The sequence below is a fragment of the Homo sapiens genome, chromosome 3, assembly GCF_000001405.40.
Source record: "Homo sapiens chromosome 3, GRCh38.p14 Primary Assembly".
NCBI lineage: Eukaryota > Metazoa > Chordata > Mammalia > Primates > Hominidae > Homo > Homo sapiens.
The window spans coordinates 11,868,834-11,896,523 of record NC_000003.12 but is presented as its reverse complement, the minus strand read 5'-3'; the positions used below and the strand labels follow the sequence as shown (position 1 = coordinate 11,896,523).

The following is a 27,690-nucleotide window of genomic DNA, read 5'->3' as shown; positions in this document are numbered from 1 at the left end:
TTGTTTTCCATTTGCCTGGTAGATCTTCCTCCATCCCTTTCTTTTGAGCCTATGTGTGTCTCTGCACGTGAGATGGGTCTCCTGAATACAGCACACTGATGGGTCTTGACTCTTTATCCAACTTGCCAGTCTGTGTCTTTTAATTGGGGCATTTAGTCCATTTACATTCAAGGTTAATATTGTTATGTGTGAATTAGATCCTGTCATTATGATGTTAGCTGGTTATTTTGCTCGTTAGTTGATGTAGTTTCTTCCTAGCATTGATGGTCTTTACAATTTGGCATGTTTTTGCAGTGGCTGATACCAATTGTTCCTTTCCATGTTTAGTGCTTCCTTCAGGAGCTCCTGTAAGGCAGGCCTGGTGGTGACAAAATCTCTCAGCATTTGCTTGTCTGTAAAGGATTTTATTTCTCCTTCACTTATGAAGCTTAGTTTGGCTGGATATGAAATTCTGGGTTGAAAATTCTTTTCTTTAAGAATGTTGAATATCAGCCCCCACTCTCTTCTGGTTTGTAGAGTTTCTGCTGAGAGATCCCACTCTCTTCTGGCTTGTAGAGTTTCTGCTGTTAGTCTGATGGGCTTCCCTTTGCTGGAAACTGACCTTTCTCTCTGGCTGCCCTTAACATTTTTTCCTTCATTTCAACCTTGGTGAATCCGACAATTATGTGTTTGGGGTTGCTCTTCTCGAGGAGTATCTTTGTGGTGTTCTCTGTATTTCCTGAATTTGAATGTTGGCCTGCCTTGCTAGGTTGGGGAAGTTCTCCTGGATAATATCCTGAAGAGTGTTTTCCAGCTTGGTTCCATTCTCCCTGTCACTTTCAGGTACACCAATCAGATGTAGATTTGGTCTTTTCACATAGTCCCACATTTCTTGGAGGCTTTGTTTGTTTCTTTTTACTCTTTTCTCTCTAAACTTCTCTTCTTGCTTCATTCATTCATTTGATCTTCAATCACTGATACCCTTTCTTCCACTTGATCAAATCGGCTACTGAAGCTTGTGCATGTGTCACGTAGTTCTCGTGACATGGTTTTCAGCTCCATCAGGTCATTTAAGGCCTTCTCTATGCTGTTTATTCTAGTTAGCCATTCTTCTAGTCTTTTTTCAAGGTTTTTAGCTTCCTTGCAATGGGTTCAACATCCTCCTTTAGCTTGGAGAAGTTTGTTATTACCGACCTTCTGAAGCCTACTTCTGTCAACTCGTCAAAGTCATTCTCCGTCCAGCTTTGTTCTGTTGCTGGCGAGGAGCTGCGATCCTTTGGAGGAGAAGAGGCGCTCTGGGGTTTTTAGAATTTTCAGCTTTTCTGTTCTGATTTCTCCCTATCTTTGTGGTTTTATCTACCTTTGGTCTTTGATGATGGTGACCTGCAGATAGGGTTTTGGTGTGTATGTCCTTTTGTTGCTGTTGATGCTATTCCTTTCTGTTTGTTAGTTTTCCTTCTAACAGTGAGGTCCCTCAGCTGCGGGTCTGTTGGAGTTTGCTGGAGGTCCACTCCAGACATTGTTTTCCTGGGTATCACCAGTGGAGGCTGCAGAACAGCAAATATTGCAGAACAGCAAATGTTGCCGCCTGATCCTTCCTCTGGAAGCTTCGTCTCTCAGGGGCACCCAGCTTTATGAGGTGTCAGTTGGCCCCTACTGGGAGTCACGGCCAAATTCTACCAGAGGTACAAAGAGGAGCTGGTACCATTCCTTCTGAAACTATTCCAATCAATAGAAAAAGAAGGAGTCCTCCCTAACTCATTTTATGAGGTCAACATCATCCTGATACCAAAGCCTGGCAGAAACACAACAACAACAAAAAGAGAATTTTAGACCAATATCCCTGATGAACATCAATGCAAAAATCCTCACTAAAATACTGGCAAACCGAATCCAGCAGCACATCAAAAAAGCTTATCCACCACGATCAAGTTGGCTTCATCCTTGGGATGCAAACCTGGTTCAACATACACAAATCAATAAATGTAATCCATGATATAAACAGAACCAAAGACAAAAACCACATGATTATCTCAATAGATGCAGAAAAGGCCTTTGACAAAATTCAACAGCCCTTCATGCTAAAAACTCTCCATAAACTAGGTGTGGATGGGACGTATCTCAAAATAATAAGAGCTATCTATGACAAACCCACAGACAATACATACTGACTGAGCAAAAACTGGAAGCATTCCCTTTGAAAACTGGTACAAGACAGGGATGTCCTCTCTCACCACTCCTATTCAACACAGTATTGGAAGTTCTGGCCAGGGCAATCAGGCAGGAGAAGGAAGTAAAGGGTATTCAATTAGGAATTCCTAATTCAATAGGAAAAGAGGAAGTCAATTTATCCCTCTTTGCAGATGACATGATTGTATATTTAGAAAACCCCATCGTCTCAGCCCAAAATCTCCTTAAGTTTATAAGCAACTTCAGCAAAATCTCAGGATACAAAATCAATGTGCAAAACTCCCAAGCATTCCTATAGACCCATAACAGACAAACAGAGAGCCAAATCATGAGTGAACTCCCATTCACAATTGCTACAAAAAGAATAAAATACCTAGGAATCCAACTTACACGGGATGTGAAGGACCTCTTCAAGGAGAACTACAAACCAGTGCTCAATGAAATAAAAGACGACACAAACAAATGGAAGAACATTCCATGCTCATGGGTAGGAAGAATCAATATCGTGAAAATGACCATACTGCCCAAGGTAATTTATAGACTCAATGCCATCCCCATCAAGCTATGAATGACTTTCTTCACAGAATTCGAAAAAACTACTTTAAAGTTCATATAGAACCAAAAAAGAGCCTGCATTGCCAAGACAATCCTAAGCAAAAAGAACAAAGCTAGAGGCATCATGCTACCTGACTTCAAACTATACTACAAGGCTACAGTAACCAAAACAGCATGGTACTGGTACCAAAACAGAGATATAGACCAATGGAACTGAACAGAGACCTCAGAAATAATACCACACATCTACAACCATCCGATCTTTGACAAACCTGACAAAAACAAGAAATGGGGAAAGATTCCCTATTTAATAAATGATGCTCAAAAACTGGCTAGCCATATGTAGAAAGCTGAAACTGGATCCCTTCCTTACATCTTGGAAAAAAATTAATTCAACATGGATTAAAGACTTAAATGTTAGACCTAAATCCGTAAAAACCCTAGAAGAAAACCTAGGCAATACCATTCAGGACACAGGCATGGGAAAGGACTTCATGACTAAAATACCAAAAGCAATGGCAACAAAAACCAAAATAGACAAATGGGATCTAATTAAACCAAAGAGCTTCTGCACAGCAAAAGAAACTACCATCAGAGTGAACAGTCAACCTACAGAATGGGAGACAATTTTTGCAATCTACCCATCTGACAAAGGGCTAATATCCAGAATCTACAAAGAACTTAAACAAATTTACAAGAAAAAATCAACCCCATCAAAAAGTGGGCGAAGGATATGAACAGACCTTCTCAAAAGAAGACATTTACGCAGCCAACAGACACATGAAAAAATGCTCATCATCACTGGCCATCAGAGAATGCAAATCAAAACCACAGTGAGATACCATCTCACACCAGTTAGAATGGTAATCATTAAAAAGTCAGGAAATAACAGGTGCTGGAGAGGATGTGGAGAAATAGGAACAATTTTACACTGTTGGTGGGAGTGTAAACTAGTTCAACCATTGTGGAAGACAGTGTGGCGATTCCTCAAGGATCTAGAACTAGAAATACCATTTGACCCAGGGATCCCATTACTGGGTATATACCCAAAGGATTATAAATCATGCTACTATAAAGACACATGAACATGTATGTTTATTGTGGCACTATTCTCAATAGCAAAGACTTGGAACCAACCCAAATGTCCATCAATGATAGACTGGATTAAGAAAATGTGGCACATATAGACCATGGAATACTATGCCACCATAAAAAATGATGAGTTCATGTCCTTTGTAGGGACATGGATGAAGCTGGAAACCATCATTCTCATCAAACTATTGCAAGGGCAGAAAACCAAACACCGCATGTTCTCACTCATACGTGGGAATTGAACAATGAGAACACTTGGACATAGGGTGGGGAACATCACACACCAGGGCCTGTCGTGGGGTGGGGGAAGGGGGGAGGGGTAGCATTAGGAGAAATACCTAATGTAAATGACGAGTTAACAGGTGCAGCACACCAACATGGCACATGTATACATATGTAACAAACCTGCACATTGTGCACATGTACCCTAGAACTTAAAGTATAAAAAAAAAAAAGATGGGGATACAAGTCACACATCAAGACCCTTAGCTGGTTTCTATTTAGGGATGATCTATTAGGCAAATCAAGGCATTAACGTCTAGTATAGAAAACTATGAGCTTAGGGGCCAGAATGATCTGGCTTCAAACCCCAGCTCCAGCATTTATTAACTGTGTGACTTTGGGCAAGTCACTTGCCCTCCCTGGGTCTTAGTTTCCTCCTTTATTAAATGTAGTATTAATATGAAACTTGGGCTCTTACAGAAACTATACCTAATAAATATACAATAAATGGTGGCTGATCAACAGAAATAATTGGGATCCATGTGGTCCAGGCAATTTCAAACACATGAAACTCATTCTGCGAACAGTACAAATGTAAAGTAAAAGGGAACTACTGATAATCAAGTACCTCAAGAGAGAATTCAATGTACTGCTGGGATACCAAAAAGGGAGTAAAATAGTCAAGAAAATAATTAGAAAAAACCAGTCAACCAGTGTGTGGCAGGAATAAGGACCTAAAGTCTAATCTGAACTTTGCTACTAAGGAGATTACTCCAAGGCCTAAGAGAGTTTTGACTCACTGTTTCCTATTTTTTTTTTCTTTGTAAAATGCAGAGAATAAAGCTGGGTTTCTGTTAAACTCATTTGGATGTCACAAACCTTCATGGATACCCATCTTTCCAGTACCTTGTTCATCTGGCCTCTATGAGATGGCGTAGGGTCACATTCTGAATTTTTCTCTTCTGAAAGTGTGTCAGAGGAGGATGTCTTGCTGCCATCTGTTTTTTGGTTCCTTTCTTTTATATTAAAAAGAGAAAAGTGACTCAAGTAATTAATAATCATGTTTGCCAAATATCATTGCCCTCAGAAAACAACCTGTTGGAAACTGCTTAGCAGTAGAAGAGGTAATTTTATAACCCTAAATTACAGTGTATTTATAAATCTAATAAAGAAAGGGTTCAGTTATACAATTGCTCCAATTACTGATGCCATGATACACATAACTTTTAGGTTAATTCAATGCAGTTCATTTGGAGACAGAAGACAAGAGGAAAATAACATACTTGCTTATTTTTCCTCTCTTTCTGATTTTTGCTGAAATAGCAGTAACAGTATGAAGTGTTATATCTAAAGTTTCCACATCGAAGTTTCCAAGAGGAGGGACATAGTCTGGGGCGACTGAAACAAACAGCAGGCTGAAGCTCAATGTGTACCAATTACACACCACCATTAGACTTGAAATTCAATCACTCAATTGGCTAAAAACTGGTTTCCAAAATTACCAAGTGTGGCTGAATGCTTATAAGACATATTCAAGTCGCCAGGCGCAGTGGCCCACACCTGTAATCCCAGCACTTTGGGAGGCCGAGGCAGGTGGATCACAAGGTCAGGAGATCGAGACCATCCTGGCTAACACAGTGAAACCCCGTCTCTACTAAAAATAAAAAATAAAAGTAAAAAAAAAAAAGATTAGCCAGGCATGGTGGCAGTCGCCTGTAGTCCCAGCTACTCGAGAGGCTGAGGCAGGAGAATGGTGTGAACCCGGGAGGCGAAGCTTGAAGTGAGCCAAGATCGTGCCACTGCATTCCAGCCTGGGCAACAGAGTGAGACTCTGTCTCAAAAGAGAGAGAGAGAGAAAAAAAAGACATATTCGAGCCATCTGACATTGTTTTGCCATAGCAAAATGGCCAGAGATAACATAGAAATATCATATTAAGTATGATCAATTATCATAAAACCACTGTAAATAATCATATATAACTAACACACAGATAAGGACTAAAACAGACATTTAAAATCTAAATTGTGTCTAGGCGGGGTGGCTCACACCTGTAATCCCAAGCACTTTGGGAGGTCGAAGCACGTGGATCACCTGAGGTCAGGAGTTCGAGACCAGCCTGGCCAACACGGTGAAACCCTGCCTCTACCAGAAATACAAAAATTAGCCAAGTGCGGTGGCAGGCATCTGTAATGCCAGCTACTAGGTAGGCTGAGGCAGGAGAATTGCTTGAACCTGGGAGGCAGAGGTTGTAGTGAGCAGAGATTGCACCACCGCACTCCAGCCTGGGCGACAAAGCAAGACCCTGTCTCGAAAAAAAAAAAAAAAAAAAGGAAAGGTGTATATATTTATGGAGTATATGAGATATTTTGATACAGGCACACAATGCATAATAATCACATCGGTAAATGGGGTATCCATCACCTCAAGCATTTATCCTTTGTGTTACAAACAATATAATTATGCTATTTTAGTTATTTTAAAATGTACAGTAAGTTATTGTTGACTGTAGTCACCCTGTTGTGCTATCAAAAACTAGGTCTTGGCTGGGTGCGCTGGCTCATGCCTGTAATCCCAGCACTTTGGGAGGTTGAGGCAGGTGGCTCACTGGAGGTCAGGAGTTCGAGACCAGCCTGGCCAGCATGGTGAAATCCCATCTCTACTAAAAGTACAAAAATTAGCCAGATGTGGTGGTGCAGCCTCCAGTCCCAGCTACTCGGGAGGCTGAGGCAGGAGAATTGCTTGAACCTGGGGAGCGAAAGTTGCAGTAAGCCGAGATTGTGCCACTGCACTCCAGCCTGGGTGACAGAGCGAGACTCCATCTCAAAAAAACAAAAACAACTAGATCTTATTCATTCTATCTAACTATACTTTTGAACCCATTAACCACCCCCATTTCTCCCAGTCCCCCAACCACCATTACCCTCCCCAGCCTCTGGTAACCATCCTTCTACTCTATATTCGTGAGTTATATTGTTTTAATTTTCAGCTCCCGCAAATATGTGAAAATATGTTGTGCCTGGCCTATTTCACTTAACATAATGTCCTCCAGTTCCATCTGTATTGTTGCAAACAACAGGATCTCATTCTTTTTTATGGCTGAATAGTACTCCATTGTGTATATGGACCACATTTTATCCATTCACCCGCTGATGGGCACATAGGTTGCTTCCAAATCTTGACTATTGTGAATAGTGCTGCAATAAACATGGGAGTGCAGATATCTCCTTGGTATACTGATTTCCTTTCTTTGGGTATATACCTACCAGTGGCATTGGATCATATGGTGGTTCTATTTTTCATTTTTTGAGGAACATCCTAACTGTTCTCCACAGTGTTTGTACTAATTGACATTCCCACCAACAGTGTACAAAGGTTCTCTTTTCTCCATATTCTCACCAGCATCTGTTATTGCCTGTCTTTTGGATAAAAGCCATCTTAACTAGGGTGAGATGACATCACATGGCAGTTTTGATTTGCATTTCTCTGATGCTCAGTGATGTTGAGCACCTTTTCATATATCCACCGTTTGTATGTCTTCTTTTGAGAAATGTCTATTCAGACCTTTTACCCATTTTTCAATCCGAATAAAATTTTTTTCCTGTCCTTATATATTCCAGTTATTAATCCCTTGTCAGATACGTAGTTTGCAAATATTTTCTCCCATTCTGTGGGTTGTCTCTTCACTTTGGTGTTTCCTTTGCTATGCAGACGAAGGAAACTTAACTTTTTAACTTAACGTGATCCCATTTGTCCATTTTTTGCTTTGGTTGCCTGTGCTTGTAGGATATTCCTCAAGAAATCTTTGCCCACTCTAATGTCCTGCCCACTCTAATGTCCTGAAGAGTTTTCTGAATGTTTTTTGTTATTGTTGTTAGTAGTTTCATAATTTGAAGTCTTAGATTTAAGTCCATAATCCATTTTGATTTTTGTATATGGCAAGAGATAGGGGTCTAGTTTCATTCTTCTGCATATGGATATCCAGTTTTCCCCACACCATTTATTGAAGAAAGCAACTTTCCCCAATGTATATTCTTGGCACCTTTGCTGAGAATGAGTTCATTGTAGGTGTGTGGATTTATTTCTGGGCTCTCTTCTGTTCCATTGGTCTATGCATCTGTTTTTATGCCAGCACCATGCTGTTTTGGTTACTATAGCTCTGTAGTATAATTTGAAGTCAGGTAATGTGATCCCTCCAGTTTCATTCATTTTACTCAGGACAGCTTTGGCTATTCTGGGTCTTCTGTGGTTCTGTATAAATTTTAAGTTTTTTTCTATTTCTGTGAAGAATGTCATTGGTATTTTGATGGGGATTGCCCTTGAATCTGTAGATTGCATTGGGTAGTATGGAAATCTTAATAATAATTCATCTGATCCATAAACATGAAGTATCTTTCCTTTTTTTGTGTGCCCTTCAATTTCTTGCATCAATGTTTCAGAGTTTTCATTGTAGAGATCTTTCACTTCTTTGGTTAAGTTTATTCCTAGATATTTTATTTGTAACTATTGTTTATTTTATTTGCAGCTATTGTAAGTGGATTACTTTCTTGATTTCTTTTTCAGATTGTTAGTTGTTGGCATACAGAAATGCTACTCGTTTTTATATGAGGACTTTGTATCTTGCAACTTTACTGAGTTTATCTAATAGTTTTTTGGTGGAGTCTTTAGGCTTTTCCAAATATCAGATCATGTCATCTGCAAACAAGGATAATTTAACATCTTCCTTTCCAATTTGGATGCCCTTTCTTTCTCTTGTCTAATTGTTCTAGCTAGGACTTTCAACACTATGTTGTATAATAGTGGTATTATATAAGTGGGTATCCTTTCTAGTTCCAGATCTTAGAGGAAAGCCTTTCAGTTTTTCTCTGTTCCATTTAATAGTAGCTATGGGTCTGTCATATATGGTTTTTAGAGTGTTGAGGTGTGTTCCTTCTATACCCAGTTTTGATGAAGGGATGTTGAGTTTTATTAAAAAAAATTTAGCATCAATTTAAATATCATGTGGTTTTTGTCCTTCATTTTGCTGATATGATGTATCACATTGATTAACGTATGTTGAACAATCCTTGCATCCCTAGGATAAATCATCCCATTTGGTCATGAGGAATAATTTTTTTTTTTTTTTTGAGATAGGAATCTCGCTCTGTCGCCCAGGCTGGAGTTCAGTGGTGCGATCTTGGCTCACCGCAACCTCTGCCTCCCAGGTTCAAGTGATTCTCCTGTCTCAGCCTCCTGAGTAGCTGGGACTACAGCCGCGTGCCACAATGCCCAGCTAATTTTTGTGTTTTTAGTACAGACGGGGTTTCACCATGTTGGCCAGGCTGGTCTCAAACTCCTGATCTCAAGTGATCCATCCGCCTTGGCCTCCCAAAGTGCTGGGATTATAGGTGTGAGCCACTGCGCCCGGCTAATCTTTTTAATGTGTTGCTGAATTAGGTTTGCTAGTATTTTGTTAAGATTTTTGTATCAATGTTCATCAGGGATATTGGCTTCTATTTTCTTTTTTTGATGTGTCTTTGTCTGGTTCTGGTTATCAGGGAAAGCTGAGTGCTTTATCACCTCACTACTGTCCTAGTAGGACTACCAGTATAGGACACTTCCCTCATCTGTCAAGTACTTTTCCAGGATTATTTGCAGTTCTACAATGTGCTTTAACCGGGTGAGCACCTTCCCCTTCATCTCAGGTGATGTTTCATGGCAGAAGGCATTCACAATCTGCAAAGTACAATTACATTCTCATACTTTCAAATGTTCAGATTTTAACCTTGTTTGTATTATTTATCCAGAGCTGAGAGATGTCTATGAACAGCAGGATCTTTAAGTTTAGTCTATAATAGAAGTGTCCTCAGCAAGGTGGTGTAGAGAAAAAAAATCTCTGGGCCAAAATATAGGAGATTCAGCCAGGCACAGTGGCTCACGCCTGTAATCCTAGCACTTTGGGAGGCTGAGGCAGGAGGATCACTTGAGGCCAGGAGTTTGAGACCAGTCTGGCCAATATGGAGAAAGCCCATCTTTACCAAAAATATAAAAATTAACTGGGCATGGTGGCACATGTCTGTACTGCCAGCTACTGGACAGGCTGGGGCAGGAGAGAATTGCTTGAACCTGGGAGGCGGAGGTTACAGTGAGCCGAGATTGGGCCACTGCACTCTAGCCTGGGTGACAGAGCAAGACTCTGTCTCAAAGAAAAAGAAAAGAAAAAAATAGGAGATTTGACTTTTGATCCTAGTTTTGCTTATTACTAGTTATGTTACAAGGCGGAATAGCCAGAGAGCACATACTTTGGTGAAACAAGTTCTATACTGCTACTTACTGTGTGACCTTGGCTGAGTCTTTAATCTTTCTAAGTATTTCTACATAAAGAAATGAGTCCAGCACTTGGTACAGTGTAAGTACTTAAAGTTTTTTCATTGACTTTGAACTCCCTGTACTTGAAATTCAGTATGTGTAAAATGAGGACAATCCCTATCCTGCCCACATCATAATAGAGATGTGGTAATCAAATAAGCTCATTCAAGTGCACAAACATTCCTGAAATAATATGTGAGAGGAAGACAGTGAGGTAGAGATATAAGATGTTGCCATCATTGTCATTATCACCAAACACAAATACATTCTAATGGGAGGGAAACTACCACCACTCACTGAATCAAGACAGTAGGCATATGCCTGTGCCAGGACGAACAGTAGTTCCACAGTGAAGAAGGTGAGAAGGTCATTCTAGGCAGAAGGCAGCTTGGAGAAAATAAAGCATGGGCAATGTGAAGTGAATTCTAAGTATTCTCATTTGGCTACCTACGGAGGTTCATATAACTGGGGAGTGGTGGGACATAACAGCTAGAGAAGCACACGGGGGTTAGTGCTTGGTGAGGACTTCTAGGGAGTCTTCTGGGAACTAAGAAAATAGTTTTGAGAAAAACTATGCACAATAAGTGAAATATCCTATTAACTCTGCTCACCTCTCGGAACCAGCTGAGAATAAGAAATATGAGAGAACACATGAATGAACGCTCTTTAGCAGACATGGACTCCAACCTCTCTCCAGGCTCCAGGTCAGTTAGGAATATAGGACAATCTGAGAGAGAACAAACATTTCCAACTACCTTTAGTGCAAGCCAATAAAACCTGGAGGTTTCCTCTGGAGCTAGCTCTCCTTGCTACTTACTTTCCCCTTTAACTCATATTTGAAGGCCAAGATCTGATTAAAATATTTGCATATCATATAGCAATCAACAAATATAATTAGAAAGTTTTTGCAACAATTGATTTGTTAACATAATGGGATTCTGTTTGTACTATTTTGTCTTTGGAATTCCAATGATAAACTATTCTGCTGAAGTTAGAAAATTCCTCCCCATATATACCATGTACTGATCTGCCCTTTCCCTAAGTTTACCAAAGGAAGAGTATAAAGAAGAAAGGATCTGATGACTTCATCCCATACCTAGTAGACTGTCAATCTCCTCCAAGTTTCCATTATGCTGTCTCTCCACATAAAGTCTCAGTAACTGGAAATACGGAGCCAGGCACAGTGGAGATACCAATCTGAGAAGGAAAAATAAATTTCTAGACCACACTTCATAGGTGTATTACTCCACATACATAGGGAGATATTACTCCACATACACAGGGAGCACAACTTCTTTTTTTGAGACAGTCTTGCTCTGTCACCCAGGCTGGAGTGCAGTGGCACGATCTCGGCTCACTGCAACCTCTGCGTCCCAGGTTCAAGCGATTCTCCTGCCTCAGACTCCTGAGTAGCTGGGATTACAGGCGCATGCCACCATGCCCAGCTAATTTTTGTACTTTTAGTAGAGACAGGGTTTTCCCATGTTGGCCAGGCTGGTCTCAAATCCTGGCCTCAAGTGATCCACCCGCCTCAGCCTCCCAAAGTGCTGGCATTACAGGCATGAGCCACCATGCCCGGCCACCAACTTATTAAGAATTTTCCTCAAAACAAATGTCTACTTTTAAGAAAAAAATGGCAAGGAACTTAATGGATGCTCCATTAAGAAAATAAATATAATGAGCTGAATTGTAGGAAGGCAGAGGTATCAGGAGTGAAAGTCCACGTGTTAGGAGAACCAGAAATAAGATAGAAAGAGAAGGTAAGAGACACAGAGGTAGCAAAGGATGTTCAAGGGAGGGAAAAAATAAGGAACAGAAGAGAAAGTAGTCTTAGAATATCTGTTGGCTCACACAAGGCAATATAAATCTCAAGCCAAGGATCCAAGAAAAAACAAGGAATCTGCCCCATTCTCCCTAACCTCTCCAAATACCGTTTGTCCCGAGAGAAACTTTTTTGACTCAACTTCCCCACCAAGAACTGTGGAATTCCCCGTGAACATTCAGAACACTAACAGGTTTAGAAAAGAAAAACTATACTGACTTTTGGCCTGATTCCTGTGAGGTCACCAGACCCCCATCTTTTGCAAAGTCCTGAGAAAACAGCAGCGGCAGGAGGTTTATGGCGATCCCATCCTGAGTGTCGTATTCTTCCAGTCCGTACAGTGCTTTCACAGGAAATGGAAAGTCACTGCAGAGAAAAACCAGAATCTGATGCTGCAGCTCAGGAATATGCAGGGCTACAGGGAAAACCACTAAAGCAAACCAATTTCAAACACAACATCATGGGGAGAAATTAGAAGAACAAACAGTGAACCTTTTAGGAATTTTGGAGCTAAGGGTGCAGGGGTGCTGGGGTTGGAAGGAAAGAAGCTGTGGGACTGGGCAGCCGTGGCTGAGGTGAAGGGTATTCTGAAGTTTGTATCAGCTACTGACAGAATTGATGTAACTTCACCAGTACAACCAAGCCAGCAGGTAAAAAATACCTACCCTTCCGGAACAACACAGGAGTCCACTACGAAGGCATCCTGGAAATCATTACAGATGGTATGCCCAACCCATTCCTTCAGGAAGCAAACAAACAAAAAGGGCAGTGCAGAGTGTACTTGCTGTACAGCCCTAGATAAATTACTCTTAACCTTTCTAAGTCTCAGTTCCCTCATTTCTAAAAAGAAAGTAATAATAAATATCTCACTATTGTGAAGTAGAAAAGAGAGAGTGCACGAAAAGCACTTATCACAAGGCCTAGCACAGAACAGGGCTCTCAGACAGATAATAGCCATCATCATTAACAAAGTCCATCTCTTCTTTACTATTATGATTGTTATTAAGTGAAGGAGGCCTCAGAGAAGAGCCGTGAGGCAGGGTAGGGCAGAAAAGCCTTTCCCAGTTAGAATTTAGGAGAGGTCACAGGATGATCTATTTTCACACTGCAACAGAAGACTTGAAGAGTGTAGTAAAGCAGCTCTCATGCTTTATTGCTTTAAGAAAAGACAATTGGCCTTTACCAGGGCTTTTGGATCCAGCTTTTCATGTTGGATCAGGTTGGCAAATTCATCATAGTAAAGTGCAGAGGCCTGAGGAGACTGCTCACTGCAGGAATGAACCAACTGCAACAAGGAGGTCACCTGGAGCAAAGAGGAAGAATGGTTTAAACCTTGGGCGGCCAATCTTTCCCAAACTCCACTCGCCCCATTCAAGACTGTTTTTTCACTTTCTGATTTTACTGGCAAAGCTCTATGTCTCACTTGAAGTTTTCCTGAATGTTCTGACCCGTCTGTCTCTTTCTGATATCATCCCTTTTCCAATCTGCCAGACACTGCAGCCAGATTAATTTTTCTAAAGTAAAGCTTCGATTTTGCCATTTCCATGCTAAGAAACCCTTAAGGAATACCTCTGCCTAAAGAATGAAATAAAAATGTATTGCTTTACATGCAAGGCTCTCTGTTTTCTCTCTCAACTAGCTTTTTCTTTTTTCCTTTTGAGATAGAGTCTCGCTCTGTCATCCAGGCTGAGTATAGTGGAGCGATCTTGGCTCACTGCAACCGCCGCTTCCCGGATTCAATAAATTCTCTTGCCCCAGCCTCCTGAGTAGCTGGGACTACAGGCGCCTGCCACCATGCATGGGTAATTTTTTTGTACTTTCATTAGAGATGAGATTTCACCCTGTTGGCCAGGCTGGTCTCAAACTCTTTACCTCAAGTGATCCTCCTGCCTCAGCCTCCCAAAGTGCTGGGATTACAGGCGTGAGCCACCGTGCCCTGCCTGAACTAGCTTTATGTCCCACTTTCCAGTTATACACTTATTTGTCCCCATGCTTCAACCAAAGTGTTATGCCATAAATATGGCATACCTTTCTTGCTAAGACTTTATAATTTAATTGGAGAGATTGAATGGATATAGAAATAAATGCAACCGGCCCGGGCATGGTGGCTCACATACGTAATCCCAGTGCTTTGGGAGGCTGAGGGGGGCGGATCACCTGAGATCAGGAGTCTGAGACCAGCCTGGGCAACATGGCGAAACCCCTACATGGTGAAACCCCGTCTCTACCAAAAACACAGAAATTAGCTGGGCGTGATGGTGCATGCCTGTGATCCCAGCTACTTGGAAGGCTGAGGCGGCAGAATCGCTTGAACCTGGGAGGCACCCCTGCACTCCAGCCTGGGTGGCAGAGTTGAGACTCCATCTCAAAAAAAAAAAATGCAACCCAAGCCAGTAGTTTCCAAGTATCAGAAAACCACAAAGACAGGAGTTCAGTAAAACTTCTTTTTCTTCTTCTTCTTTTTTTTTTTTTTTTTTTTTGCCTTTTCTTGAGATGGAGTCTCGCTTTGTTGCCCAGGCTGGAGTGCAGTGGCATGATCTCGGCTCACTGCAACCTCTGCCTCCCAAGTTCAAGCAATCCTCTGCCTCAGCCTCCCAAGTAGCTAGGATTACAGGTGGCTGCCACCACGCCTGGCTAACTTTTTTTTGTATATTTAGAGAAGAACTCACATGTGTGCACTGCTCATCACTCAGGTTGGCTACCTCTTGGGTCAAACTAGATGATCCACTTCTAAAAACAAAGAATTTTAATTTCACTTTTGTAATATTTTGTAACAATTTCCAATAAGTTTAAGAATTCTGACTTCCCTAGGGTAGGGTAAAGATAAAGGTACATGAAGGCAGAGAAGAGTATTTATTTTGTCCATACAAAATACAGATTAGAGCAAAAGATTGTTATACATATTTTTATTTTCTCTTTTTTCTTACTTTTTTTTTGAGTTTCGCTCTTGTTGCCCAGGCTGGAGTGCAATGGCGCAATCTCGGCTCACCGCAACCTCCATCTCCCAGGTTCAAGTGATTCTCCTGCCTCAGCCTCCCGAGTAGCTGGGATTACAGGCATGCGCCACCACACCCAACTAATTTTGTATTTTTAGTAGAGACAGGGTTTCTCCATGTTGGTCAGGCTGGTCCCAAACTCCCGACCTCAGGCGATCCGCCCACCTCGGCCTCACAAAGTGCTGGGATTACAGGTGTGAGCCACCGAGCCTGGCCTGCTCATTTCTCTTACAGTTGTAACGTCTACTGTTAAAATGATGTCTATGCGATGTAACACTGTTAGTTGGCAAGATTAACTGATCTTAAACCACAGAAGTCAGAATCTCCATGTGTACCTGTCTGCCACCATGATGCCAGCCATGGTGACAGCACCAAAAATCCCAATGAGTTTGTACTTGAATATGGTGCTAGAGAGCTGCTTTCTTATCACCAAGTGCATGTCATCCTGCAATGAGATAATGAAGAAAGATGGTAACGCTGGAATTGCACAGCAAAAGAAGGTATGGATATTGAGCCACACAGCCAGACTATAAAGGGTTCTATCATTTACTGTTTTTTGTTTGTTTGTTTGTTTGTTTGTTTGTTTTGAGACAGAGTTTAGCTCTTATTGTCCAGGCTAGAGTGCAATGGCGCAATCTCAGCTCACTGCAACCTCCACCTCCTGCGTTCAGGCAATTCTCCCTCAGCCTCCCAGGTAGCTGGGATTATAGGTGCCTGGCACCACACCTGGCTAACTTTGTATTTTTAGTAGAGACGGGGTTTCACTATGGTAGCCAGGCTGGTCTTGAACTCCTGACCTCAGGTGATCCACCCACCTTGGCCTTCCAAAGTGCTGGGATTACAGGTGTGAGCCACCACACCCAGCCCTGTGTGTCTTTAGCAAGTCATTTCATCTCTCCAAGTTTTAATTTTTACATCTGTGAAATGCGGAAAGTTGTTTTAAGGATTAGAGATAAATTATAAAAAACTTCTAGAACAGTGCCTGGCACATGATAGACATTCAATAATAATAGCTTTAATTGTTATTATTTCTATAAGGATATGAAAATTATCATAATGTTGATGACTGCTCAGCTAAAATAATGAATTAGAATAAAATACTTAGGTACAGATTTAAACATGGAGGCAAGGCTAACCGTGGTGGCTCATGCCTGTCACCCTAACACTTTGGGAGGCTGAGGCGGGTAGATTGCTTGAACCCAGGAGTTCAAGACCAGCCTGGGTAACATGGCAAAACCTCATCTCTATAGAAAATACAAAAATTAGCCAGCTGTGCTTGTGCATGCCTGTGGTCCCGGCTACGCGGAAGGCTGGGGTGAGAGGATCACCTGAGCCTGGGAAGTCAAGAATACAGTGAGCCAAGATCCCATCACTGTACTCTAGCCTGGGTGACAGAGCCAGACACTGTCTCGAAATAAAATAAAATAAAATAAAATAAAATAAAATAAAATAAAATAAAATAAAATAAAATAAAATAAAATAAACATTGCTGAAAAACTTTAAATACATAAGTAAATGGAAAGAGCTATTGTCTTGGTGGATTGGAAGACACTCAGTATTGTTAAGATGAAAATACCATTCAAAGTAATTCAATGCAATCCTTATCAAAGTCCCACAACATGTTTTGCAGAAATAGAAAGATTCATACCAAAATTCACATGGAATTTCAAGGGACCCCAAATTGCCAAAACCTTGAAAAAGAACAAAGTTGGAGGGCTCACACTTCCTGATTTCAATATTAATACAAAGCTACAGTAGTCAAAACAGTGTGGTGATGGCAGAAGGACAGACATATGGACAAATGAAATAGAATACAGAGTTCAAAGATAAGCCTTCATATATGTGACAAATTGATTTTTGACAAGGGTTCCAAAATCATTTCAATGGTGAAAGGACCATCTTTTCAACAAATGGCACTGGAAAAACTGGATATCCATGTGCAAAAGAATGAAGTTAAATCCTTACAATACACTATACACAAAAATTAACAAAAAGTGGATCAAAGACCTAAATTTAAGAGCTAAAACTTTCTCTTAGAAGAAAATAAAAGAAAATCTTCATGACCTTGAATTCAGCAACGGTATCTTAAGCATGACAACCAAAAGGACAAGCAACACAAGAAAACAAATTGATAGAGAGTGGGTCGTACAGCTTTGGAGTGGCAACCTTTGTGGCGCCAGCGATGAAAAAGAGAATTAAATATGGGTGATGCTGAGAAAGGCAAGAAGATTTTTGTTCAGAAGTGTGCCCAGTGCCACACGGTGGAAAAGAGAGGCAAGCACAAGACTGGGCCTAATCTCCATGGTCTCTTTGGGCCATTGGATTCTCTTACACAGACGCCAAGAAGAACAAAGGCATCACCTGGGGAGAGGATACACTCACTGATGGAGGATTTGGAGAATCCCAAGAAGTACATCCCTGGAAGAAAACTGATCTTTGCCAGCATTAAGAAGGCAGACAGGGCAGACTTTATAGCTTATCTAAAAAAAAGCTACTAATGAGTAATGATTGGCCACTGCCTTATTTATTACAAAACAAATGTCTCATGACTTTTTTATGTGTTCCATACTTTAATAGATCTCATACACAGGAATTCAGATCATGAATGACTGACAGAATATTTTGTTGGGTACTCATGATTTAAAACTAAGACTGGCTTGTTGTTAAATGAATATGTTGTTTTTGAATTTTAATAGTAATTCCAATTCAGTAAATGCTATCATTGTTTACCCCTTCTAAAGATAAGATTAGACTTCCTTAGTAATGTTCAACTTTTCACAAAGATGGTGAGTGCTATCTTAAAACTTAATGGAGGCCAGGTGCAGTAGCTCACACCTGTAATCCCAGCATTTTGGGAGGCCGAGGTGGGCAGATCACTTGAGGTCAAGAGTTCGGGACTGGCCTGGCCAACATCAGGTGAAACTCTGTCTCTACTAAAAATACAAAAATTAGCTGGGCATGGTGGCGGGCACCTGTAATCCCAGCTACTAGGGATGCTGAGACAGGAGAATTGCTTGAACCCAGAAGGCAGAGTTTGCAGTGAGCTGAGATTGTGCCACTGCACTCTAGCCTGGGCGACAGAGCAAGACCCCATCTCAAAACAAACAAAATAAAACAAAACAAAACAAAACCAAAAACTTAATGAGGACTGATTTTATATGTAGATTTATATAACTCGTTATGTGAATATATTTAAATACTGAGGAAATTCCTTCATTGTCTCAGAACCAAGCAAGATTCACCTGTGTTTTGTGTTCATTTGCCTCTTAAAGGTAAGGGTGGAAGATAAATAAGGGAGCAATGTCTAGTTTATATTTTTGGCCTTAACTATGCCAATCTAATTAGAATTCCCTGTATTTAAAATGGTCTCTTTAACTTACTGAAAGGCATTTTAGTGTGGTTTATGTGTAATGTCAAAGATTATTTAACACTTCTCACATTTTATAGATGATCTATAAAGTCACATGCTTTTAAAATAGTAGCAAGTTAAACTTCACTCTTGAATTCTTTACGATCTAACTCAAACTAAGTTATAATTTAGAATTGTCTTTAAAGGAGCCATTCAGAAACATAAAACTGAAACTGCTGTGTATTTGTGATTGAAAATAGTGCTTTTGCCAACTTAAAAGGATTAAAGTAGAGGAGATATACACAAATTTTAACATTATGTGTGATCATAAGACTTAAGATAATTAAAAAGAAAACCACAGATGAAAAAAAAAATAGATAAGGCCAGGTGTGGTGGCTCACATCTGTAATCACAGCACTTTGGGAGGCCGAGGCAGGCAGATCGTGAGGCCAAGAGATCAAGACCATCTTGGCCAACATGGTGAAACCCCATCTCTACTAAAAATATAAAAATTAGCTGGGCGTTGTGGTGCACGCCCGTAGTCCCAGCTACTCAGTAGGCTGCGGCAGGAGAATCGCTTGAACTCAGGAGGTGGAGGTTGCAGTGAGCTGAGATCGCACCACTGCACTCCAGCCTGGTGACAGAGCAAGACTCCATCACAAAAAAAAAAAAAAAAAAAAGTAGATAAATTTGACTTTATTGAAACTAAATACTTTAGTGCATCAAAGGACACTATCAAGGGAGTGAAAACCCATAGAATGGGAGAAAATATTTGCAAATCATATATCTGATAAGGGATTAATATCCAGAATATATAAATAACTCCTATACCTCAACAATGACAAAAACCCAGTTTAAAAATGGGCAAAGGGCTGAGCACAGTGGCTCATACCTGTAATGCCAGCACTTTGGGAGGCAGAGGTGGGTGGATCTCCTGAGTTCAAGAGTTCAAGACCAGCCTGGGTAACATGACGAAACCTCATGTCTACCAAAAATACAAAAAATTAGCTGAGTATGGTGGTGCACACCTGTGGTCCCAGCTACTCAGGAGGCTGACGTGGGAGGATCGCTTAAGCCTGGGAGGTGGAGGTTGCAGTAAGCCAAGATCACACCACTGCACTCCAACATGTGTGACAGAGTGAGACCCCATCTCAAAAACAAACAAACAAAAAAAAATGGGTAAAGGACTTGAATAGACATTTCTACAAAAATATAGAAATGGCCAAGAAGTACATGAAAAGATGCTTAACATCATTAGTCATTAGGAAATGCAAATCAAACCACAATAAGATACCACTTTGTACTCATCAGGATGATTATAATTAAAAAATAGGGCCAGGAGAGGTGGCAGGTACCTGTAGTCCCAGGTACTCAGGAGGCTGAGGCAGGAAGACTGCTTGAGCCCAGGAGTTTGAGGCTGCAGTGAACTATGATCGCACCACTGCACTGCAGCCTGGGTGACAGAGCAAGACCCTATCTAAAAAAAATAATTTTTTATTTATTAAGAAATAAATTAATTAATTAAAATTAAAACAAAATTTTTTAAGAATGGAAAATAAATGTTGGCAAGGATATGGAGAAATTGGAACCTACAAACATTGTTGGTGGGAATGTAAAATTATGCAGCTGCTATGGAAAGCAGTTTGGTGGTTTCTCAAAATGGTAAATATATGGTCATCATATGATCCAGCAATTCCATGCTTAAGATATATACCCTAAAGAACTGAAAACAGGGACTCAAACAAATATTTGTAAACCAATGATCACAGCAACATTATTCAAATGACCAAAAGGTGGAAACAACTCAAGTGTCCATCAGTGGATGAATGGATAAACAAAATGTGGTATAAACAAAGAATGGGGGCCGGGCGCAGTGGCTCACGCCTGTAGTCCTAGCACTTTGGGAGGCCGAGGCAGGTGGATCACCTGAGGTCAGGAGACCAGCCTGGCCAAAATGGTGAAACCACATCTCTACTAAAAATACAAAAATTAGCTAGGCGTGATGGTGCACACCTGTAATCCCAGCTACTCAGGAGGCTGAGGATAGAGAATTGCTTGAACCCAGGAGGCAGAGGTTGCAGTGAGCTGAGATCACGACAATGCACTCCAGCCTGGGCGACAGAGTGAGACTCCGACTCAACAAAGCAAAACAAAACAAAACACAACAACAACAAAAACAAAGAATGGAATTATTACAGCTGTAATACGGAATAAAGTTCTGATGCATGCCACAACATACATGAACCTTGAAAATATTATGCTAAAGTGAAATAAGCAAGGCACAAAAAGATACATATTGTATGATTCCATTTATATGAAGCATCTAGAATGAACAAATCCATAGACAGAATGTGATTAGTGATTATCAGGAGGTCGGGAGAGGAAGATGGCAAATTATTGCCTAATGGGTACAAAGTTTGTTTGGGATGATCAGAAAGTTCTAGAAATGGATAGTGGTAATGGTTGTATAACATTGTGAATATACTTACTGCTACTAAATTGTACCCTTAAAAACAATTTAAATGGTATATTTTATGTTATGTGTATTTTATCAAAATTCAAAAATAAAATAAAATAATGAAGTAGCTTTATATTACTGATTAGAAGCAATCTCCCAAATAAACTGCTAAATGCAGAAGGTAAGATGTAGAACAAGAGGGGAAAGGAAACTACAGGTAAATACAAATTTGTAAATTCTCAGAACATCTCAGAAGCTTATAAAGTGATTGCCCCTGTAGGAGACAAACCAGGTGCCTAGAGGACTGAGAAGAAGTGAGAGTTATTTTTCACTGGATACCCTTCTATATGTTTTGAATTTTGTATGACACATGTATATTACCTAGTCCAAAAATTTTTTAATTAAAAAAATGTGTTGATTGGGGATCCAAGAAAGGGGTGGGAGGGGAGATAAAAAAATATGCTGGTTGTTCAAAGTCACAGTCCAGTATGAATTACTGCCATAAGGTAGCACTAAAGATACAAATGAGTTACAAGTTATGATTCCAATCTAATCTCTTCCTTTTGTTTTATTTTATTTTATTTATTTATTTATTTATTTATTTATTTATTTATTTATTTATTTATTTATTTTGAGATAGAGTCTCATTCTGTTGCCCAGGCTGGAGAGCAGTGGCACAATCATGGCTCACTGTAGCCTCAACTCCCTGGGCTCAATGGATCCTCCCACCTCCGCCTCCTGAGTAGCTAGGATTACAGGTGTGTGCCACCACACCTGGCTAATTTTTGTATGTTTTTGTAGAGACAGGGTTTCACCATGGTGCCCAGGTTGGTCTCAAACTCCTGGCACATGTGATTCGCCTGCCTTGGCCTCCCAAAGTGCTGGGATTACAGCCTGGCTTTTTCAGCGAATGGTGTCCACAAACCAAAAACAAGCCCATGTGAAGTTCACATTAGATGGAGATGTTTCTTAGAAAACAAGGCAATTCTGTGTCCCCACTGCACTCAGAACCTGAACAGTTTCATGGTTAGCTGATCCCAGACCCATCTCTACCCTAATAGACAAAGCTTTTTGAGGGCAGAGGATCTAATATATCAGTGCCTGGCACAGAATAGGCACTTAATGTTTGTGGTAAGAATTAAAAAAATGCTGGAACTATGGCTGTGTACTCCATTTCCACTAATACACACTAGCAAATCTATCATTTGCTTATTTTTTTCCAGCAAATTTCAAGTAAAGAGGTTTAAAAATACAAAACACTAAAAATACTAAAATTAGCTAGGTGCAGTGGCATGTGCCTGTAGTCCCAGCTACTTGGGAGGCTGAGGCAGGAGAATTGCTTGAACCCAGGAGCTGAGATCATGCCACTGCACTCCAGTGTGGGTGACAGAGCTAGACTCCGTGTCACAAAAAAAAAAAAAAAAAAAAAAAAAAAAAAAAGGCCAGGCTCAGTGGCTCACGTCTGTAATCCCAACACTTTGAGAGGCCAAGGTGGGCGGATCCCGAGGTCAGGAGATCGAGACCATCCTGGCTAACATGGTGAAACCCCTTCTCTACTAAAAATACAAAATAATTAGCTGGGTGTGGTGGCGCACGCCTGTAGTCCCAGCTACTCGGGAGGCTGAGGCAAGACAATTGTGTCAACCCAGGAGATGGAGGTTGCAGTGAGCCGAGATCATGCACTGCACTCTAGCCTGGGCAACAGAGGGAGATTCCATCAAAAAAAAAAAAAAAAATCTTTCCCAACATATTGCCTCTTACCTGGATGTGGCTGCTGGCTTCATTCTGTTTACTAAATGCCAGTGTGCTGAGAACATTGAAGAGTTTTCGTATTTGCTGAGGGGATATATTATCCAGATAATCTAAAATGCCCTGCAGAAAAAATGATGCCAACAGTGAGGCTGGCAGCTAACATTTTTTCCCTTAAAAATCAAAAAATTAAAATCCCTGTAAGAGAGGCATACATAGATAGCCAGGTATCTAAACTTTTTAGCTCTCTTAAAAGCTTAAGTTCCAAAAGCTATGCTCAGAGCCCAGAGGTTTGATAGGCTGGATATAAACTGAGAAAACTCTTACAACTTTCTAAATGTCTTATTAACAGCGACTAGGAACTAACTATCAGGAAAGATAAAGTTTTCTTTATCCTCTTCACTCTGAACCACAATCCTGGGCTTTAATCATCTACTGCTTAGTCATTCTAATGCACCTCCCAGTTCTCCGTATTCTTTACCTCCACCTTTCCCTTTTTTTCAGTGAAAACAATATGCTATAAAAAGTTATGTCTTTACTATTCCTTGCCGTATCATCCCTCCCCAGCTTCTACTCCATAAATTATTTCTCCTTTCTCTACAGATCTGGAAGGAGTCACAAGGAAACTATTTACTTTGTGACCTTGGGAAATGTCTCAGCTTTTCTCGTCTGTAACAGGGCGATAATAATAGCTATACTACCTTTCATGGTTTGTCTGAGGATAAAGTAGTAAAACAGCTTTGTAAACTTCTAACAATTTTTAAAATTTTCCATTTCTGCCTCTCTATTGAATCCTTTCTGTCAGCCTACAAGCAATCTCAAACCTCCTCATCTAAAAAATATCTCCCTCGCAACCAGCTTCTCTCTCAAGCTACTTTTCTTATTCTCTCCTCCTTGATGCTTCTTGACATTGACTGTATTCCCCAAGTCTTCAAGTTACTGCTCTCTGGCTTCCACCCTTATAATTCAATTAACATTGTTCTCTCAGAGGTTACCAGGGGTATCCTAATTGCCAAAGCCAATAGCCTCTGCTCCATCTTCAACCTCTACAGTATCCATCACTGGAGATAAATCCCTCACTCTTGAAACTCATTCCTGGGCTTTTGCTACCTGACATCCTTCAAGCTCACATTATTCATCTTCTAGTTTTCTCATTTTCCTTCTGCGGACATTTGCTTCCGTCTGCCACTTAAACTTTAACTGTCTCAAAATGTCTGTGCTCTTCTAAGCTTCTACGGTCTTCTGCCTCAAAATTGCCTCAGTTGAGCTCACATTTATACGGTTCTGAACACCCAAACTAAATCTTCCACCAAAGGGTGCCCCACAGGGTTCCAAACCAGAATTTCCAACTATCCACTAACCACCTACACGTGGCTATCCCATAGTGAACTCATCATACTTCCTACAGAAGATGCACGCCCCTCCTGGTCTCAGAAAATGGCACGACTATTTATCTAGTTTCCTAAGATGAAAAAACTCGGACCTAGTTTTTCTGTTTCTCACTGCCACATATTAACAGTCACCAAGTCATGTTAATTCTAACACCAAATTGTCTCTTAAACCATCATTTCTTCTACATTCCTGTGACCAAAATCTGGCCCTTACTCTCACTCCCTTAGACCATTTCAGTGGTCTCCAATCCACCCATCATATAGCCTACTGAGTTATCTCTCAACGCTGAGTAGATTAGGTCAACTCTATGTAAAAACTGCTAATAGCTCCCTATTGTCTAGAAAATAAAATTGAAACTCTTTAGCATGTTATTTGAAACTCTTTGCAACACGGGCCTGTCCTATGTCTTACCAGCCTTGCCTCCCATCACTCCTCTCCATATATATCCTATTCTCCAGTCATGCTTGTTTGCTTCTCATTCCTCAGTCACACCACTGACTTGGGCACCAGTTTGCTTCTGCTCAAACTCTTCTCTGCCTAGAACGCACTTCCCATACTTTCTCTTGTCAGTCATTCCCATCCTTCAGCAATCACTCAAATCACCTCTTTGAAGAACTCTCCAGCTTCCCAGGCTAACTTTAATTATTCTTGCTCTGTTGTATCTATAGTACTTTACCAGAGAATTCACCATGTTGTATTTATAGTGACTTGCTTATGTGTCTTTGTCTTTAACATCAAAGGCAAGGACCTACTTTACATTCACAGCACCCAGAATAGAGCTTAGTCTGTGGGTTAGATATAAAGAAATGTTTGCTGAATCAATTAACACATAGATAGAATAGTCACTTTTTATTTATATTACTTGCCCATCATCTCACCTCCTTCCCACCACCTCCCACCAATTATAGTATTCAATATCTAAAGTACAAGAAGCCAATAAGATACCTTTACAAAGACAGCATTCATCATCATAGCAGATGGATTTAACACTACCAACTCTAGAAGGACATCTAAGGCAGTATCAACTTCAGCTTCATTCCCACTGCAGATGTGGGTCACTAAGGCACCAACCACTTCCTATACAGGGGAGAGTCAACAGGACAGTGTAAAACAAAATATGGATGGCCATTCTAAAGGGATTCACCCCCAAGGCCTCTCCAATCTCTTCTTTGTTAAAATCACAATCAACCCAATCCCATCATCTATTATCTAGTTTTCATTAATGCTGGCTTCAGGAGATTTAGGAATATGCCAGTGTAACTTGACCATCCCGTCTTGACCTATTTCCCACAGTTTATCAGTGAGCTCTACCTAAGCCCTCCTGATTTTGCTCCTTGGCGTAGTTTTCCTCTTTCTTTTTCCCATATGGGTTAAATTTTACCCTTTAGGTTGAGGTTGTACAAGATCAGTTGAAATTCCTCAAAAAGATGGCACTCAAGGAGCTAAAAGCTTTAAAGGTTTTCTCCATATAGTACAGGCTAGACTTGCATGTTTCCAAGCAAACATGGATCATGACAGTGTCTCTAAGACATTAAGAGGATTCAAAAATGTCTTAGATGCCATTCTCCCTTTATACTGTCACTCCACCATAGCCATAACAGAATTATATTCTCAACTGCAACAGCTACCTCATGTCAGCCGCAACTATTGCTCTACTTTAAATTAAAAAAAAAAATTTTTACAAATCTTCATTTTAAAAGTTCCATTCAAATGCGTTTTAACATTGTTAATAAGAGGAAGAATATATGTAAAAATACAAAATAAGACACTGTTCTTTACCTGCTTTCATAAACATTTTCCACAAATACAGTCCTCCCTCTCTGGATATATGCTATTAAAATGTGTCTCAGCCAGGCCCGATGGCTCACGCCTATAATCCCAGCACTTTGGGAGGCTGAAGTCCAGGTCAAAAACCTATTGTCAATAAATATGCAATAATAGAAAAACAGTTAACCAATCAGTACATTTGCTACAATGAAACAGCAGCTTTTCCCGATTAAAACACAGAATGGATGATACTCATTCGTTCCACATACTCCCTTAGGCTTATCTACACTTTTCACAAAACCCAGAAATTTTTTTCAGAGAAATAAAGTGCCACAACTATTAGCCACTGGTATCTCTTAAGAATACATTGCAATATACATGAAAGTGATACTACTACAGAAGTAACTTTGAACATCTTCACATTTATTAAAAGATTCAATCACTTGCCAACTCCAGTATGTATTTTCACTATTACTAGGAAAATTACTTTGTGAAAAGTTGGAAAGACTATAAATGCCCATCAATCTGGAAAGGGTTCAGTAAATTATGATGGAGTAATTTTAATTTTTGAAATATTATAGTCATCAAAAAGGATAAGCCAGGCTGGGCGTGGGGGCTCACACCCGTAATCCCAGTACTTTGGGAGGCTGAGGTATACATATCACCTGAGGTTAGGAGTTCGAGACCAGCCTGGCCAACACGGTGAAACCCCATTTCTACTAAAAAATACAAAAAAAAAATTGGCCAGTCGTGGTGGCAACTGCCTGCAATCCCAGCTACTCGGGAGGCTGAGGCAGGTCAATGACTCGAACCCGGGAGGTGGAGGTTGCAATGAGCCGAGATCGTGCCACTGCACTCCAGCCTGGGTGACACAGCGAGACTCTGTCTAAAAAAGACTTTTTAATTACAAAATTAAAAAAAAAAAAGAATAAGCTAGACTAGGGGTCCCCAACTCCTGGACCATGGAGTCCGTGGTCTGCTAGGAACCAAGCTGCACAGCAGGAGGTGAGGGGTGGTCAAGTGGTCATTACCACTGAGATCCGCCTCCTGTCAGATTAGCGGCTGCATTAGATTCTCACGGGAGCGCGAACCCTATTGTGAACTGCACATGCGCAGGATCTAGGCTGCACGTTCCTTATGAGAATCTAAGTAGTGCCTGATGATCTAAGGTTGAACAGTTTCATCCTGAAATCAGGCCCCGAGACGGTCTGTGGAAAAACTGTCTTCCATGAAACCAGTCCCTGGTGCCAAAAAGGTTAGGGACTGCTGAGCCATACTCTATTTTTTGACAGAGAAAAGACATTCCTGACATGAAGTGGAAAAATCAGCAGCCTGCAAAAGGATAATCAGGCTGGGCATGAAGGCTCATGCCTATAATCCCACTGCTTTGGGAGGCTGAGGAGGGAGGATCATTGAGCCCAGGAGGTGGAGGCAACAGTGAGCTATGATTGTGACACTGCACTCCAGCCTGGTGACAGAGTGAGACCCTGTCTCTTTAAACAACACCACCACCACCCATAATCATAGTTAAGATTCTGCTTTTGTAAAAACAATATATAAACATACATATGTGTAGGCATAAGAGTATACCTGTACTTGCACACAATTACAGCTCGTATATGAACAGAAAAAATTTGGAAGGATGATTATCCCTGAGGAATGGGACAGAGAATGGAGAAAAACTGTATTTTTTACATCTGTAGATTCCTTGTGGGTTTTTCTCCACAATTAGCTTGTTTATCTACATTTAAAAAAGAAAAATATGAGGACTGG

The 27,690-nt window shown here is 40.6% G+C and overlaps 2 pseudogenes; one reads left to right on the top strand and one right to left on the bottom strand.

Annotated features, from left to right (window-relative positions):
* FANCD2P2 (FANCD2 pseudogene 2) lies at positions 5,327-25,229 on the bottom strand (annotated as a pseudogene).
* On the top strand, positions 17,336-18,007 carry CYCSP12 (CYCS pseudogene 12; annotated as a pseudogene).